The 14514-nt window shown below is 47.4% G+C and overlaps 1 annotated feature.

Moving 5' to 3' along the window:
* Positions 6343-6553: a silencer, noted in NCBI's record as "fragment chr17:59521182-59521392 (GRCh37/hg19 assembly coordinates)". NCBI's record gives its function as "represses an EF-1alpha promoter that drives an FKBP-Casp9 reporter gene in an ReSE screen in K562 erythroleukemia cells {active_cell/tissue: K562}" and the evidence as "EXISTENCE:reporter gene assay evidence [ECO:0000049][PMID:32094911]".

Raw genomic sequence — 14514 nt, forward strand, 5'->3', positions numbered from 1 at the left:
CTGTCTTTGAGTCCACTGCTTCTTTCTTCTGCTTGAGTCCCCTGTTGAAGCTCTCTATTGAATTTTTCAGTTCATTCATCATATTCTACAGCTCCAGAATTTCTGTTTAGTTCTTTTTTATGATTTCTATCTTTTGGTTGAATTTCTCATTTTGTTCTTGTATTGTTCTCCTGATTTTGTTTAGTTGTCTGTGTTCTCCTGTACCTCAGTGAGCTTAAGTCACTTATTTTGAATTATTTATCAGGCAATTCATAGGTCTCAATTTCTTTGGGATCAGCCACAGGAGCTTTATTTTGTTCCTTTGGTGGTGTCATGTTTTCTTAATTCTTCTTGTTCCTTGAAGTGTTGCATTTCTGTCTTTGAAAAAGCAGTCTCCTCTTCCAGTCTCTACTAACTGGCTTTGGAAGAGAAAGACATTCACCAGACAATCAAGAGTTTGACGTCTTTCAGGCCTTTTCTATGGATTCACCTGCCCCACTCTCTTGTTCCCCCTTGTGGGGGTAAGGCTTAGGATTGTGTGCCTACTCTCAATCCTGTAAAGTCAGGCCAGGTGTGGAGGGCCTCCTCTTAATTTTCTCCAGGAAAGTGCCTTGAAGTGTTCAAGATTGTGCACCTTCTCTCAACCCTGCAAAGTTGAGATAGCTGCTGATATCTATGTGCTGTCTGTGGGGATTTGCATGTGTCCTCTGTGGTGGCTTGCACTCACTATCTGTGGAGGCTCAGGTGCTCTGTCTCAGGAACGCATAAATGCCATCTGAGGACTTTTGCATGTGCCATTTCAGGGGCACATGCAGAGTGCTGAGGGTGTGAGTCATCCAATTGAAGGTGTTGAAGATGAGGCATCCTACAGGGTTTTCATGGTTTTCAGACTCCTGGTGGAGTCTCAAACCAATTAATAGGGTCTACAGCTGGTTTTTGAGACTTTGTGGTTGCTCCTACCTCCCCCAAGACTTTTAGCTGTGTGATCTTCTGTGATCTGGGTGGGGTGAGGCAGAAGTGAGCCTCTTGGGTAACAACCTGTGAGGCTGGGGAAGCTGGACACTCACTTCACTCTCACTATCCCCCATCGAAGAAACTGTGGACTTGGGCACTGAGCCATGCTGCCTTGGGAGTAGGGTGATGTGGGTTAAGTGAAACTGTTCTTCCTCTTTTTCTTTTTTTTAGGTGGAGTCTCGCTCTTGTTGCCCAGGCTGGAGTGCAGTGCTGCAGTCTCAGCTCACTGCAACCTCCGCCTCCTGGGTTCAGGTGATTCTCTTGCCTCAACCTCTGGAGTAGCTGGGACTACAGGCACCTGCCACCATGACCAGGTAATTTTTTTTTTTTTTTTTTTGGCAGAGTCTCACTCTGTCACCCAGGCTGGAGTGCAGTGGTGTGATCTCGGCTCACTGCAACCTCCGCCTCCCAGGTTCAAGCTATTCTCCTGCCTCAGCCTCTCAGGTAGCTGGGATTACAGGGGTGTGCCACCACGCCCGGCTAATTTTTTGTATTTTTAGTAGAGACGGGGTTTCACCATGTTGGCCAGGCTGGTCTCAAACTCCTGACCTCAGGTGATCCGCCTGCCTCAGCCTCCTAAAGTGCTGGGATTAGAGGCACGAGCCACTGTGTTCTTACCTTCATCAACGCATCTAGTCTTAGTTGTTTTTTCTTTTCTTTCTTTCTTTCTTTTTTTTTTTTTTTTTGGCTTAAACAGAGTTCTATAATTGCTTCACTGGACTCCTGGTTTCCTACTTGAGGTACTCTTCTTGTCCATGGATGGTTGTCAAAATTGATGTTTCTATGGAAGTATGAGGACTGGAGTCTCCTATTCCACCAGCTTGCTGTCATCACTCTGGCAAAAATGTCAAGTGGTTATCTCTTTTGTTTTCTTTGCAGTCTGCCATAATTACCAGATTCTTTCCAATGAGGACATTTTACTCTAAAGTAGTAGTAATACCATGGACAATGAATGAGTCTAATCTTTTTCAATCAAGTTCATTTCACTTTCAAGTAAATCTATTTACTCTGTAGTGTTGTAAATGCTTCCCAAATATTTAATAACTTGAAGTAAATGAGTATTATTTTGCTCATTTTACAGATGAGGAAACTGAGGACCAGAGAAGCTAAGTAGATCACCCAAGGTAATACCTGAGATGTATGGACCCAGTGGCCAAGCTCAACCACCATGTCATGCTGTCCTCAAACCCTCTGGGCCAAATTGCACATAGTTTACAGCCTGTCCCAGGCTGACAAGGAGGTGACAATTGCACTAAGCTTTATGATTCTGAAACCTGGAATCTGGAAGCCATGGAATTCCAAAAGTCTGAAGAGGCCCCCTCTTAATTGTGTGGCTTTGGGAAAGTCCCTTACCTCCCCTACGCCTTGGTTTCCTTATTTGTAAAATGTGGGTGATACCATCTGTATTCTTTCCTACTCCTCAGGGTTGTTATGAGCTCAGGTATATGTGAAAATGTTACATAAACTGTGAAGGATGTAGGTAGGCAGGAAATCAAGGGAGAGATATCAAAGAGATGCTGTGTGAACAAAGGTGCATTAAAAGGACTGTGAAGGCCATTGTGAGGGAGCTGTGTGAAAGGGAATTTGGTTCCTGAGGAGGAGCAGTGGGACTGGGGTAGAAACAGGTTTGGTGTTAAATCCTGGAGGACTTTAATGTCAGGTGATGCACTGGGATGTTACTGACAGTGAAATAAGGAGGGTGGGCTATGAAGAGTCATCCACTGCAAAAATACAGCATGATTGTCGGGTTGTCTTCAGCCACTCTGCTGGGCCTCTAGGCCCGACTCTTGAGTGAGTCTGAGAGAGGGAGCTCCCCAAGACAGGCCCTCTGGGCAGGTGAGGATTCCAGTGGTGTATAGTGACTTGCTGGCAAGTTTTAGTCAATGCCCATGAGAGGGAAGCTGGCACAGGAGGCCAGCATTATGGTTCTTTCCAGAAGCCCAGGAAAACCAGAGTGTGAGCCTCTCCCATTTGGTGGGTCCTTCCAATTTATGGTAGCCAGCTCATTTGATTCTCCAACAGCCTGGAATGGAGATGAACTCTTATCTTCCCTCCACTAATCTGCTCTTCCTAATGTCACCAGTGACTCTAACTTCCTCCTCCTCGAATCCTCCTTAATACAGTTGCCAGTAGTTTACATTGCTGACTTCTCCCTTGCTCCTAAAAAGTTCTTTTGCGACCAGGATTGCACTCTCTCAGCCAGTTTTTTAACTGATTCTTCTCAGGCCCCTTTGCTGATTTCCTTTCTTTTCCACACCCTCCAAGATTCCATTCTTGGTCTCCTTTTCTTTTTCAATGAATTCTCCCTCAGTGGCCTCATCAACTACCAGTATGAATGCCCACTGTGTACTCATGTGTCTCAAATTGTGATCTCCAGACCCTGTATTTCTTATCATGACTAAAATGAAACTCATCTCTGCCCATACTCACTGCCTATTCTCTCACTTAATGTCATCACAACCACAAAAGGTTCTGTGTCAAAGCTGTGACAATGTACCTGGTTGGTTTTAGCAGAGAGGGGATTTTTTGGAAGCATGGGGCAATTCACTGACATGAAGAAAATTCTTGAAGGTCAAGACTCATAAATAATGAAGGCCAGAGCAGCTCTGGGAAGCTGAACAGTGGATACAAGTGAATGGCTTCCCTGGGGAATGAAGACTGAAGAATGTAGTAGAAGAACATTACCTACCATGTAGTGTTTGTTGAATCTAAAATGAACTGTACAGTTAAGGAAGCCGAGGCCCAAAGAGGATGATTCAACTTCCATCCCTTCATTCTTTCTGCCATTAGGCTCGAGATTAGAATTACAGGAAGAAAGCATCTGAATGCACTAACTAGGGTCACATGGTCTTAGCTGGGGGTAAGCACAACCCTTTCAGTGATGGTCCTAACAAATTGTAAATCAATCCTGATATTGTCAATCTTGTTTTTAAAAGCCTCTAGAGAATGATTCTTCCTCCTAAAACTCAACGAGCATTCTGAACCTGAAAAGGGGGGGATGAAGTCTGGGTGTAAAAATATCACAACTGTCCATCATACTCTGGCCCAGAAACATCTTTAACTCCTGCCTCTTCCATACTTCACTTCTCCTAAATATCTTTCTAATAACTTCCCTGCCCTCATAACTCCTTGCTGCCAGTCTCTACCTGCAAATCTATTTGCCCCACTACCAGTCATCTTCTACAATACATTCTGGGCTGGGCGCAGTGGCTCACGCCTGTAATCCCAGCACTTCAGAAGGCCAAGGTAGGTAGATCATTTGAGGTTAGGAGTTTGAGACCAGCCTGGCCAACATGGTAAAACCCCGTCTCTATGAAAAATACAAAAATTATCTGGACGTGGTGGTGGACGCCTGTAATCCCAGCTACTCAGGAGGCTGAGGCAGGAGAATTACTTGAACCCAGGAGGTGGAGGTTGCAATGAGCCAAGATTGCGCCACTGCACTCCAGCCTGGGCAACAGAGGGAGACTGCATCTCAAAAATAACATAACATAACATAACATAACATAACATAACATAACATAACATAACATAACATAAATAAAATAAAATAAAATAAATAAAAAAATAAAATAAAATAAAATCTGATCAGTCCAAGCTTCTCCTTCCCTCCCCCTGCCCCCAAAAAGAACCCTTTATGGTCCCCCATTGCCATTAGCTGAAGTTTTTAATATGGTTTACAAGGTCCTTCCCAAGCCTTATCTTTCCACAAGGCTTCATTTACCACTCCAGCCCCACTACTCCTGAAACAGGCCTCTCTATGCCTATGTCTGTATTCTTCCTTTCTCCTGGATGCCTTTCCCACATTCTCTGTCTCGAAGGATCCCATTCATATTCGTCTTTCATAGATAGCATCAGATCTCACCTCTCATGGAGACTTCCTCAAACAAGCCAGGATGAGTTGGTTAATCCTTCTTTTGTACTCTTTTCACACTCAGTAAGGACTTAAGATTATAGCCCTGAGCACATTTTATTATGGCGTTTGTTTACAAGTCTGTCTTCTTCACTGGACTGGGAGCTCCTCTAAAGTAGGCCCTGAGTTTTCCTTGGCTTTATTGCCCTAGTGCTTAGCATTGTGCCTAGCATGTGGTGTTTGGTGAATTTCAAGTGAGCTGTACCGATGAGGAAACTGAAGCCCAAGGAGAACAAGCTGCACACTTAGAATGAGCAACCTCCCTAATGGCAATCAAGTTGGAGAGACAGTTGTGATCAATCACATTGGGCTTTGTAATCATCTAGGCAGTTGCTAAAGACTGGAAGTAAAGGGTGGTCACCAGCTATCTCCCTTTGCACTTTGAGAAAATAAGGCTCAACAGGCTCAAACTTAAATGGTCAAGAGGGATTTAAATTAAAGAAGAGAAAGACCTTCTTGTTCCTGGGTTTGGTAGACAAAAAAGTGAGCTGACTCAGAACGTTTGTGAACTTTTTGCCTCTGGAGACTTTTACAAACAAGATAGACCTTATTATCAGGGCTGAGTCGAAAGTCCTGTTAGAGGCGGACAAATGGCTGAGCTGACGTCTGAAGAAGCTGCCTCTTGAGGAAGCCCTTGAGGGGCAGAGGAACCAGTGAGAAGACTTCAGTTCCCAGGGAGGTCAAGGATGCTTGGGGGAGGGGGAGACAGAGGAGGGAGCCCTTCCTAATTAAGCCTCTACCCACGAGTGAATGTGAGGCTAATAAGGCAGCCCCATTCCAGGGCACCTCCACACCCAGCCAGCCGGTCTGCCTGTTTATTGCCCGTATGGAGATCATTAATGCCTCCTGACACTGGGGTCACTCCCGGGGTCAATCCCGGAGCCCCTTCTGGAAAACAAGGGGAAATGAACTTCCCAGCACATGTGGCTCAGCCTTGGCAGGGAGGGGGACTCTGGTCACCCCACACCTCAGCTCTGGGAGAGATCAGCACTCCAGGCAGTCAGACCCCCCGAAACAATCCCTTCTGCCCATGCTGGACTCAGGGGGGGTGGTCCTGGGGAAAGGCGAGGTGGAGGCCCTTGTCTGGGCCGGGACAACCCCCACTGAGGCTGTCCCAACCGACAGACAGACACTAATCCCCTGGCGACGGACTGGGCTGGTGTCTGGGAGCTGCAGCTGCAGCTCAACAGGGGCCAGGCTGCCGGCCACAGGTGGCGGGAAGGCGCAGGCCTGGTGGCCACGTGGGCGCGAGCTTGGGCCTCGGCCCCACCCTCACCCGCTTCCCCCTCGTTGATTGGGCCCCTTCCCCTTCCGGAATCCAAGATGGTGGGGGGGGGGCGGGCTTCCAGGGCAATCGGAGCTTCAATTGGTGGAATGCAGGCCCTTTGAGCTGAAGGACAGCCTCAGTAGCCACTCAGGGAGCTCATGCTGGTGATGGTGGTGGGCGCTCAGCCACCTTACCTCACACTTAAGCAGCCGAGGTGACCTCAGGAATCGGTCTCCCGCAGGCTGGCGAGAGCCACAGTGAGAACGAGGAAACTCCAGACGGCCTCCGGGCAGGCCCCTTACCAGCCTGGGGCGTCTTCCTCGATAATGGAACTGAGAATCAGTCCCTACCTGCCCGGCAAGAAGACGGGAAAAACCTCCAACTACCTTGGAGGAAATCAATAGGATTACGAGGTTAATGCCAGAGCAGGCTGAGTGACAGTTACCAAATAAATGATCTTGGGAGGACATGGCTGAGGTTAAACGAGGCCCAATAAATAAAGGAGCGTGTTCAAAGGAGAAACTTCAGAAAATGCAAGGACGCCGGAGGCGGGGGTGGTGGTCGGGCCTGGGGACTCCTTCCTGTCCTCTCGTCGGGGACCTGTTGAATCTCCCAGAGGAGCCACAGCCCCGGGCCTGCCTTTCACAACCTGCCCACTCGGGTCTGCACCCTGTTCCGTGCCAGTGTTGGCATAGCTCCAGGGCACAGCACTCCTTGGACAGCTGCATCCCCCCAGCTTTGGAGACTGAATGAGGGAATGGAAAGTCTTACCGTGGAGGCCTGACCAGTTAACAGAGCCCCAGCGTGCCTCTGACTCCTTAGAGAAAGGACCAACTGCAGCAAGAGGGGTTGAAGCTAGATGTGAGGAGGCACTTCCCAAACAGATTGATGGACAGAGCTTATGGGCCTTGGAGACAAGGAAGTTTCCCGTAGGCCTTCAGCTGAGTGTCTTTTCTTCATGAAATCTGCTATAGAACGGTTTTGATGACTGAGCAGTAAGCAAAGTCCCTTCTCCAATTTCTTCCAAATCTTCCCACTGATGCCCACATCAAGCCTCCTTCCATTCCCTTTTCTACTGTGCCTGCCCCTTTAGAATTGGGGATTGAAAAACCCAAGCACAGAGAGCAGCTCTGGGTGAGTGGGGCCGGAGGCAGATGGGGGACGTTTGAGGAAGAGGGCAGCAGGGAGAAGAAGGCCTTGGTGACATGGGATGGGGGCACTCAGGAAGCTCCAGGACACGCTTCTTGGGACGGCAATTGGAAAAGAGGCTTGAGCTTGGTACAGACTGCTAGAAGGGCCCTGTGATGTGGGGAAGGAGCGGAAGGCACCAAGGACGTGCCTTTTGTTGGAGTTTCATTCAGCTTTGTTGCCATGAGTCATTTGGCTTTGTGTTTATATAGTGCCTTCATAGTAATAAATCAGACTCAAGGAAGGAGAGAGAATGGTGTTCTGAGCCCCCGGTGCAACCCTGTGGTGTGTCCCTCCACACCCAGGGCTGGATTGCCTCTGGGGCAGTAGGTCTGTGGCCAAGTAGGTGGGGTGTGGGGTAGGAGAAGAGGGTTCTTTGCCCGGTGGCCTGTTATAAAGGATTTTATTCCAGATGAAAGCACAATTTTCCTTATCGTCACTTGTTTCTGATGTAGTCAAGAATTTCCCTTTTTAAAAATTTGTGTTTTATAGAGATAGGGTCTTTTTGTTGTTGTTTGTTGTTTGTTCGTTTGTTTTTTGAGACGGAGTCTCACTCTGTCACCCAGGCTGGAGTGCAGTGGCACAATCTCAGCTCACTGCAACCTCTGTCTCCTGGGTTTAAGCGATACTCCTGCCTCAGCTTCCAAGTAGCTGGGATTACAGGAGTGCACCACCACATCCGGCCAATTTTTATATTTTCAGTAGACACAGGGTTTCACCATGTTGGCGAGCCTGGTCTCCAAATCCTGACCTCAAGTGATCCAGCTGCCTCAGCCTCCCAAAGTGTTGGTATTACAGGTGTTAGCCACCGCGCCCAGTGGAGATAGGGTCTTGCTATTAAATATATTGCTCAGGCTGGTCTTGAACTCCTGGGCTCAAGCAATTCTCCCACCTCAGCCTCCCAAAGTGCTGGGATTACAGGCCTGAGCCATTGTGCTGGCCTAATTTGCCTTTTTTTGTCCAAGGCTGTGTTCTCAGCTAGAAAGGGCCATCAACATCATCTTTACACATGAAAAGCTTGCAGCAGAGTCTGTGTGTACAACCCTCGCTCTTCATTCCGTTAGCAATGTGTCCTGGTGAATGAGCACCCCACTCCTGGGGTCCTGCTGGCTTTCTTCCAGTAGCTAACGTGGTAGGAGCCCGCAGGAGACAGAGAATGATGTTCTTAGGAACATCAAGGATACTGGAAGTGCCCTCTCTTGGAAATCTGAAGAGAGAGATGATTAAGTTTTTGGTCCCTGGGTGAGTATTTTATTTTTTAGCAAATGAACAATAATAATAATGAATAGGTTATGATCTTGGGCTCTTGAGCCCTATAGGTCCAATAACCTCTTTACTTACTGTGAGACCTTGGTCAAGTCCTATTTATAATGATACCTGTATTTGAGTGTTACCATGCGCCAGGCACTATACATGTTACTCTTACAACAACAACGTGAAGGAGGCTGTGTTATCCCTGTTTAACAAAGAAAACCTGCTTAGGCTAAGAAACTGGAGAGCAGTTTACTTAAAAGCATAGGCACTGAAGATTCAAACTAGTTTGGCTTTAAATCTTGACTTCATTTCCTGGTTGTATGACATTGGGCAAATTATGTGACCTCAGTTTCTTCATCTGTAAAATTGGGTTTATGATAGTAACCACCTGATAAGGTAGTGAGGCTGAAATGAGATAATGTGCATAAAGTTCTTAGAATTCTGCCAGGCACATTGTAGGTGTTTGATAAATGTTAGCTATAATTGTGAGCCCTCAAAGTACTTTTATCTATGTGCTGTCACTTCATCCTTTCTGCTACCCTATGAGGTGGCTATTGTTATTAAATTCATTTATAGATGAGGAAGCAGAGCCTTAAAACTCTGCTCTAGCCTTAAAACTCTGACCTAGAACATGCTGTAGACCTGAATTCAGGCCTTTAAACTTCAAATTCCAAGCATTTTCTGATAGTCTCCCATTCTTAAATTCTAATTTATTTTAGCCCCTCATTCAGAAATATCCCCAAGGAGCCGAATTTAAAGCCAAATTTGGATTATCTATGCTTGGGAAGAATGCAAAGGAGAAAGGAAAAAAAGGGAAGTGTTGAACAATTAAATAATATCTCTGATTTAGGAATTTTTTTCACCTAGCACAACCCTAGGAGATATACCTTCCTCTGGTAGTGAAATAAGCATATATTTCAGAGAAGTCTTACTGAAGGAAATGGAAGGAAGTGAGGATTCAGGAGCATGTAGTGTAAGGATGGGGGAGGGGAAGCTGACCTTCTAGAGAAAATCCACCAAAGAAAAAGGTCTCTGGATCAGGAGGTCTAGATTGCTCAGGCTATGCAAAACCCAGACTTGATCATTCATTCCTTACCTCTGTAGTGTCTCAAATGAGAGTTAAAGGAGGGATCCACCTGTGCTGTTGGTGAATCACTGTCTCTGCCCTCAGTCCCAAAGGGGCTCAGACCAGTCTGCCTCACCCAGCTCAGAGATGAAGGCAGCCCAGTCCTCAGTTCCTTCTACCTGGAAGTTTCTGGTTCTGCCTGACAGGAGAAGGCCTGAGAGAGCAGGGTGAGAGGTCAGGTGAGCAGACCTGCATCTGTGGTGTGAGGGGAAGCACCTGCAGTAGCAGCAGCTGCCACCTCTACCCATCCCCTGCTTGGTCCTTCTCCAACCTCCCAGAGGGAGCTCAAGCTCCTGCCCCACAGCTTTCCTGAGCTTGCTAATCTGAATGGGATGTGGGCTGAGGAATCTGGAACCAAGACTTGGGGCTACTGGGTGACAATAAAGCTACAGGAGGACAATAAAGCTACAGGGGACAGATCAATTCCCTGCTGCCTCATCCATCCTTTCCCTTTTGGAGGTTAATAAGGATCCTAGGCCTTAGACCACAGCATACACAGAAAAACATAGCTGGGAAAGAAGTGAGGAGGGATTTTGTGTCCTGGTTTTGAATGGGAAGACACGAGCACATGCGCACTCAGGTAAGTATCTTTCATTATGGAGGAAGGCACTCAGCACTGAGCTGGTGAAGCAAGAGGATGGCTTGAGCCCAGGAGTCTTTGAGGCTGCAGTGAGCTATGACTGCATGCCAGCCTGGGCAACAGAGTGATACCCTGTTTCTTTAAAAAAAAAAAAAAAAAAGGAACACTGAGCTGGGAACTTTTACATATGCTTCAGGAGTATATTTAGCTGTAAGTAACAGAGATCCATCCAGACTAACAATGATGAAAAGAAATAAGGTTTATTTTTCTTATGTATAAGAAGCAGGCTGGCACTGGTTTACCTGCTCAATGATGCCATAAGGAACTCAGGCCCTTTCTGTTTTTCCTTGGATATCCTTAACATATTGACTTTCATCCTTCTTCCTTAAGGTCTCTAGAGGGTGAGAACTTCAAGGATCTCATCTGCAGGGGAAAGGAAGATCACATCTTCCCCTTTATCAAGAAAGCAAAATATTTCCCACAACCTTTCTCCCCTCCAGTCTTCCGTTTAGGTCTTATTGGCCAACACTGGATTACGTGGCCATCTCTAGCTACAAGAGAGACTAGGAGAGCAGAGAACAGGATTTTCATAGACCAGTGGTTCTCAGCCTTGCCTGGAACTCCTGGGCTCAAGCTATCCTCCTGCCTTGGCCCCCTGAGTAGCTAGGACTACAAGCGGCGCCACCATGTCCGGCTTTGGCTCTACTCACAGAGATTCTGACTCAGTTGGTCTGGGTTAGAGCTTGGCATTGGTATTTATTAAGTGCTCCAAAAACCTAATTTTTTTAAAAAATTGTAATTGCTTTTCACTACACTATGGTGCCAGCTCATCCTCCACCAAAAGGTCATCCTCAACCAAAGCCACCCCAGGCTCTAGGGAGCCACCCTACTGTGCTGACTGGCATCCCCAACTTATCCTGTAGCCCCTGCTGTCTCTGAGATTGATTATTTAGGTGATTAATTACTCAGCTTGCAGGTCATTCATTAATGAATTTGCTGTTAGTGATGGGTTAGTCAAGTAGTTGGGTAACTAACAGAATGGTCAGTTGGCCTTTCCTCCTGTTTGTGTGTCTAACACATAGTAAGCATTTGATATTTCTTTGGATGAATGAATCCATAAAATAGAGAAAAAAATGGAGTTAATACAGTATCAAATGAGATGGCAGCTGTGAAACCACTTTGTAAATGGTAAAACACTGTACGATATAACAATAAACATTTACATTAGAAACTACTTTTATTTTTTCTTTATTTTTAAATTTTATTTATTATTATTATTTTTGAGACAGACTCTCACTCTATCATCCAGGCTGGAGTGCAATGGCACTATTTCGGCTCACTGAAACCTCTGCCTCCCAGGTTCAAGTGATTCCCCTGCCTCAGCCTCCAGAGTAGCTGGGACTACAGGCATGCGCCACCATGTCTTGCTAATTTTTGTATTTTTAGTAGAGACAGTGTTTCACCATGTTGGCCAGGCTGGTCTTGAACTCCAGGCCTCAAATGATCCGCCTGCCTAGGCCTCCCAAAGTCCTGGGATTATAGGCATGAGCCACTGCGACCAGCCGAGAAACTACTTTTTAAAATTTAGGGCCAGGACAAAGTCTGTTCCTTCACCATTCACCAAAGAGTTACTGTTTCCACATTTCTGATATAGAGAACTACCATGTTGCTCTGCTGGCTCATAAGCCAGATTTTATTCTCAATTATAGCAACTTTGTCAGCACTTAGTGATAGCATATATGCTTACTCCTTTTTCCTTGATCCTAATGTGTTTTTCTACTTGTGTTTTTATTAGCTAATTCTGGTTATAAACCACCTCAAGCCTTTTGCGGAAAAGAGAAAAGTAGAATAAATTTTTAAAATACTTGGGAGCTAGCCTTTATCAACCATGCATTAATATAGGCAATCCTCACAATAAGCTAGTAGGTTGGCGTAATTATCCCCATTTTATATGAGCATTAATGAACTTGCCCAAGGTCACATAGCTGCAAAATGGTGAGCCAGGAATCAGAGCTAGGTTTCAAAACCAAGGTGAGCCTGCTACCAAACCTGAGCACTTTCCCCCAAGCCAACCCAAATCAGTGTGACCGATGTGTGGCACCGTCAGTTATTTGTTTAGCTAGTTGAGGAGGGTTTTCATATTTTGAACTCCTCAAAGTAGTTTTGGAGAAAAAAAAATTGGTCTTCTCCTCTTCTACACAGGCTCTTTTTCAGCAAATACTATGCAGCATCCATTATAAGCTTTTCTATTATTTTACATACGACTAAGAAGAAAAAACGCTGCTAATTAAGCTATGACACACCGCTAGCTATCAGATGCATCTCAGTTTCAGAGATACCAGAATGTGAAAAATGTGTGTCTTAGAGTCAGTTAAATGAGGTATTCCATTCTAATAATGGGGAATGTGCATACAGAACCGCTCTCATTTACTCACTTGCTGGCTGGTTTGCCCCTTCCTTTTTACTGCCAAAAGCTTACCTGTCCCTTCCATATCTCATTTCTCCATGTCATCATGAACCTGTTGATATTAATTTAGACTGTCTGCCATCAGTCTCCAGAAAGCCTTGCACTTATAGGAAGGTTCCAGTCTAGTTTGTTTGTTTTTGTTTGTTTGTTTTATTAAAGAACTATACGATACGATCTCAGTATGAACTTCCTCCAATGACTGTCAACAAATTCTTTCCAGAGTCTGGCCTAGCTCTAGTCTTCCCATAGTACCTGGTGATTCACTGCCCTCCCTGTTCACCATTCCACACAGTAGTTGGTTGCTTAGTCTGTATACTATTTATTTGCAAGGGATTTCCCTACAGGCTGTTGGAGAGGTCATGGGAGGGGGCTTGCGAGCAGAAGCTGAGGCATGTCATCCAGGTCTCCCTAACACAGGAAACACGACTCCCCAGGCATCTCCTGAAACGCCAGGGCCTTCCCTTTCTCCATTCCAGGAGTCCGCAGGTTTGGGGAAGGATTCTGCTCCTCCACTCCTCTTAGATATTATTTCCCCTCCCTGGTTTGAGACTCCATGAGAGGAATGGTGATAGGGTGGTGGGACCTGGTACTGCAATGGTGATAGGGACTTGAGCAGCGGCCCACTGTTGAGGTGGATTTCAGGCTCCTGACAGCAGCAGCGACTGGCTTTTCTGAGTTGGCGTTTTTGCTTCCACCTTTGAGTGCAGGGTGGTAAAGAAGGCATTGATGCTGGCTTTCCATTTCCTAGCATTAGAACAGGGACAGACCCATCCAGGAAAAGAATTTCCCTGTCCTCTCCCCTTCAAGCTGATTTTGAGGTCAGAATCTGGAAAGGGACAGAGGCTGGTTGAGGACACTGGTGGAGGGAGGGATGCAGCCCATGCTAAGCACTAAGGGACCACTCTGGGGATCCTTATTGATGAGGATTCTGCTGTCTTTGCAGATGGGTGGGCAGGCCTATTTCTGCCCCAGGATTCTGGGCATGTGACAGGCGGGGAGGCTGGGGCACGGGCTGGGGTCCGCATGGGTCCGTCTGCTAGTGGAAAGGCAGCGTCCTGTGGGAGGTACAGACAGAGAGAAACAGAGGTAAGTGGAGACAGAGAGCTCAGAGGCTGGGCAGGGAGGTCTAGGTGCTGAGCGGGACTCCGTTTCTGAGGCGGAAAGAACCGGGTGGCTGGGAGCAGGACGCTCCCCAGTCTCCACTTCCTAGACTAGGGCAGGCATTGGGCTTCCTCTTCAGCTCTCCAGGATCTCAAGGAGCTGCCGCGGAATCCTGGCCCTGGGCCGCAGTTTCCCCAGGAGGCTCTGCCAAGCCTGGCACCTTGCAGCCCGGCCTGGGCTCTGTCAAGGCCCGAGCCGGACTCGGCTCCACTCAGAGGCCGGCCCAGCACTTCCCTGCCGCCGCCGCCCCGCACCCGGCCACCGGGCTTCCTCCCAGTCCTCACCCCTGACCTCCGCGGCCGACTTCGAGGCGCGCCAGGCCGGGTCCAGCGCCCGCGGCCCCCTGGGCCGGGACAAGGAGGGCGGGTGAGCAGAAGGGCCGTGCCCAGGGCCTGGAAGTGCAAGGCCGCGTGGTGGGCATGGTAGGGAAGCGGAGCGTGGGCCTGTGAGGCGCGTGTGCGCCTGCGACCTCGGGACCGGGGCTCCCAAATGAACAGCGCGCACAGCTGGGAGCAGGGCTTGGGGAGCGGGGCTCTGCGGCCGGGGATCCGTAGAAGCCGCTGCC

This window comes from Homo sapiens, chromosome 17 (assembly GCF_000001405.40).
Source record: "Homo sapiens chromosome 17, GRCh38.p14 Primary Assembly".
Classification (NCBI taxonomy): Eukaryota; Metazoa; Chordata; class Mammalia; order Primates; family Hominidae; genus Homo; species Homo sapiens.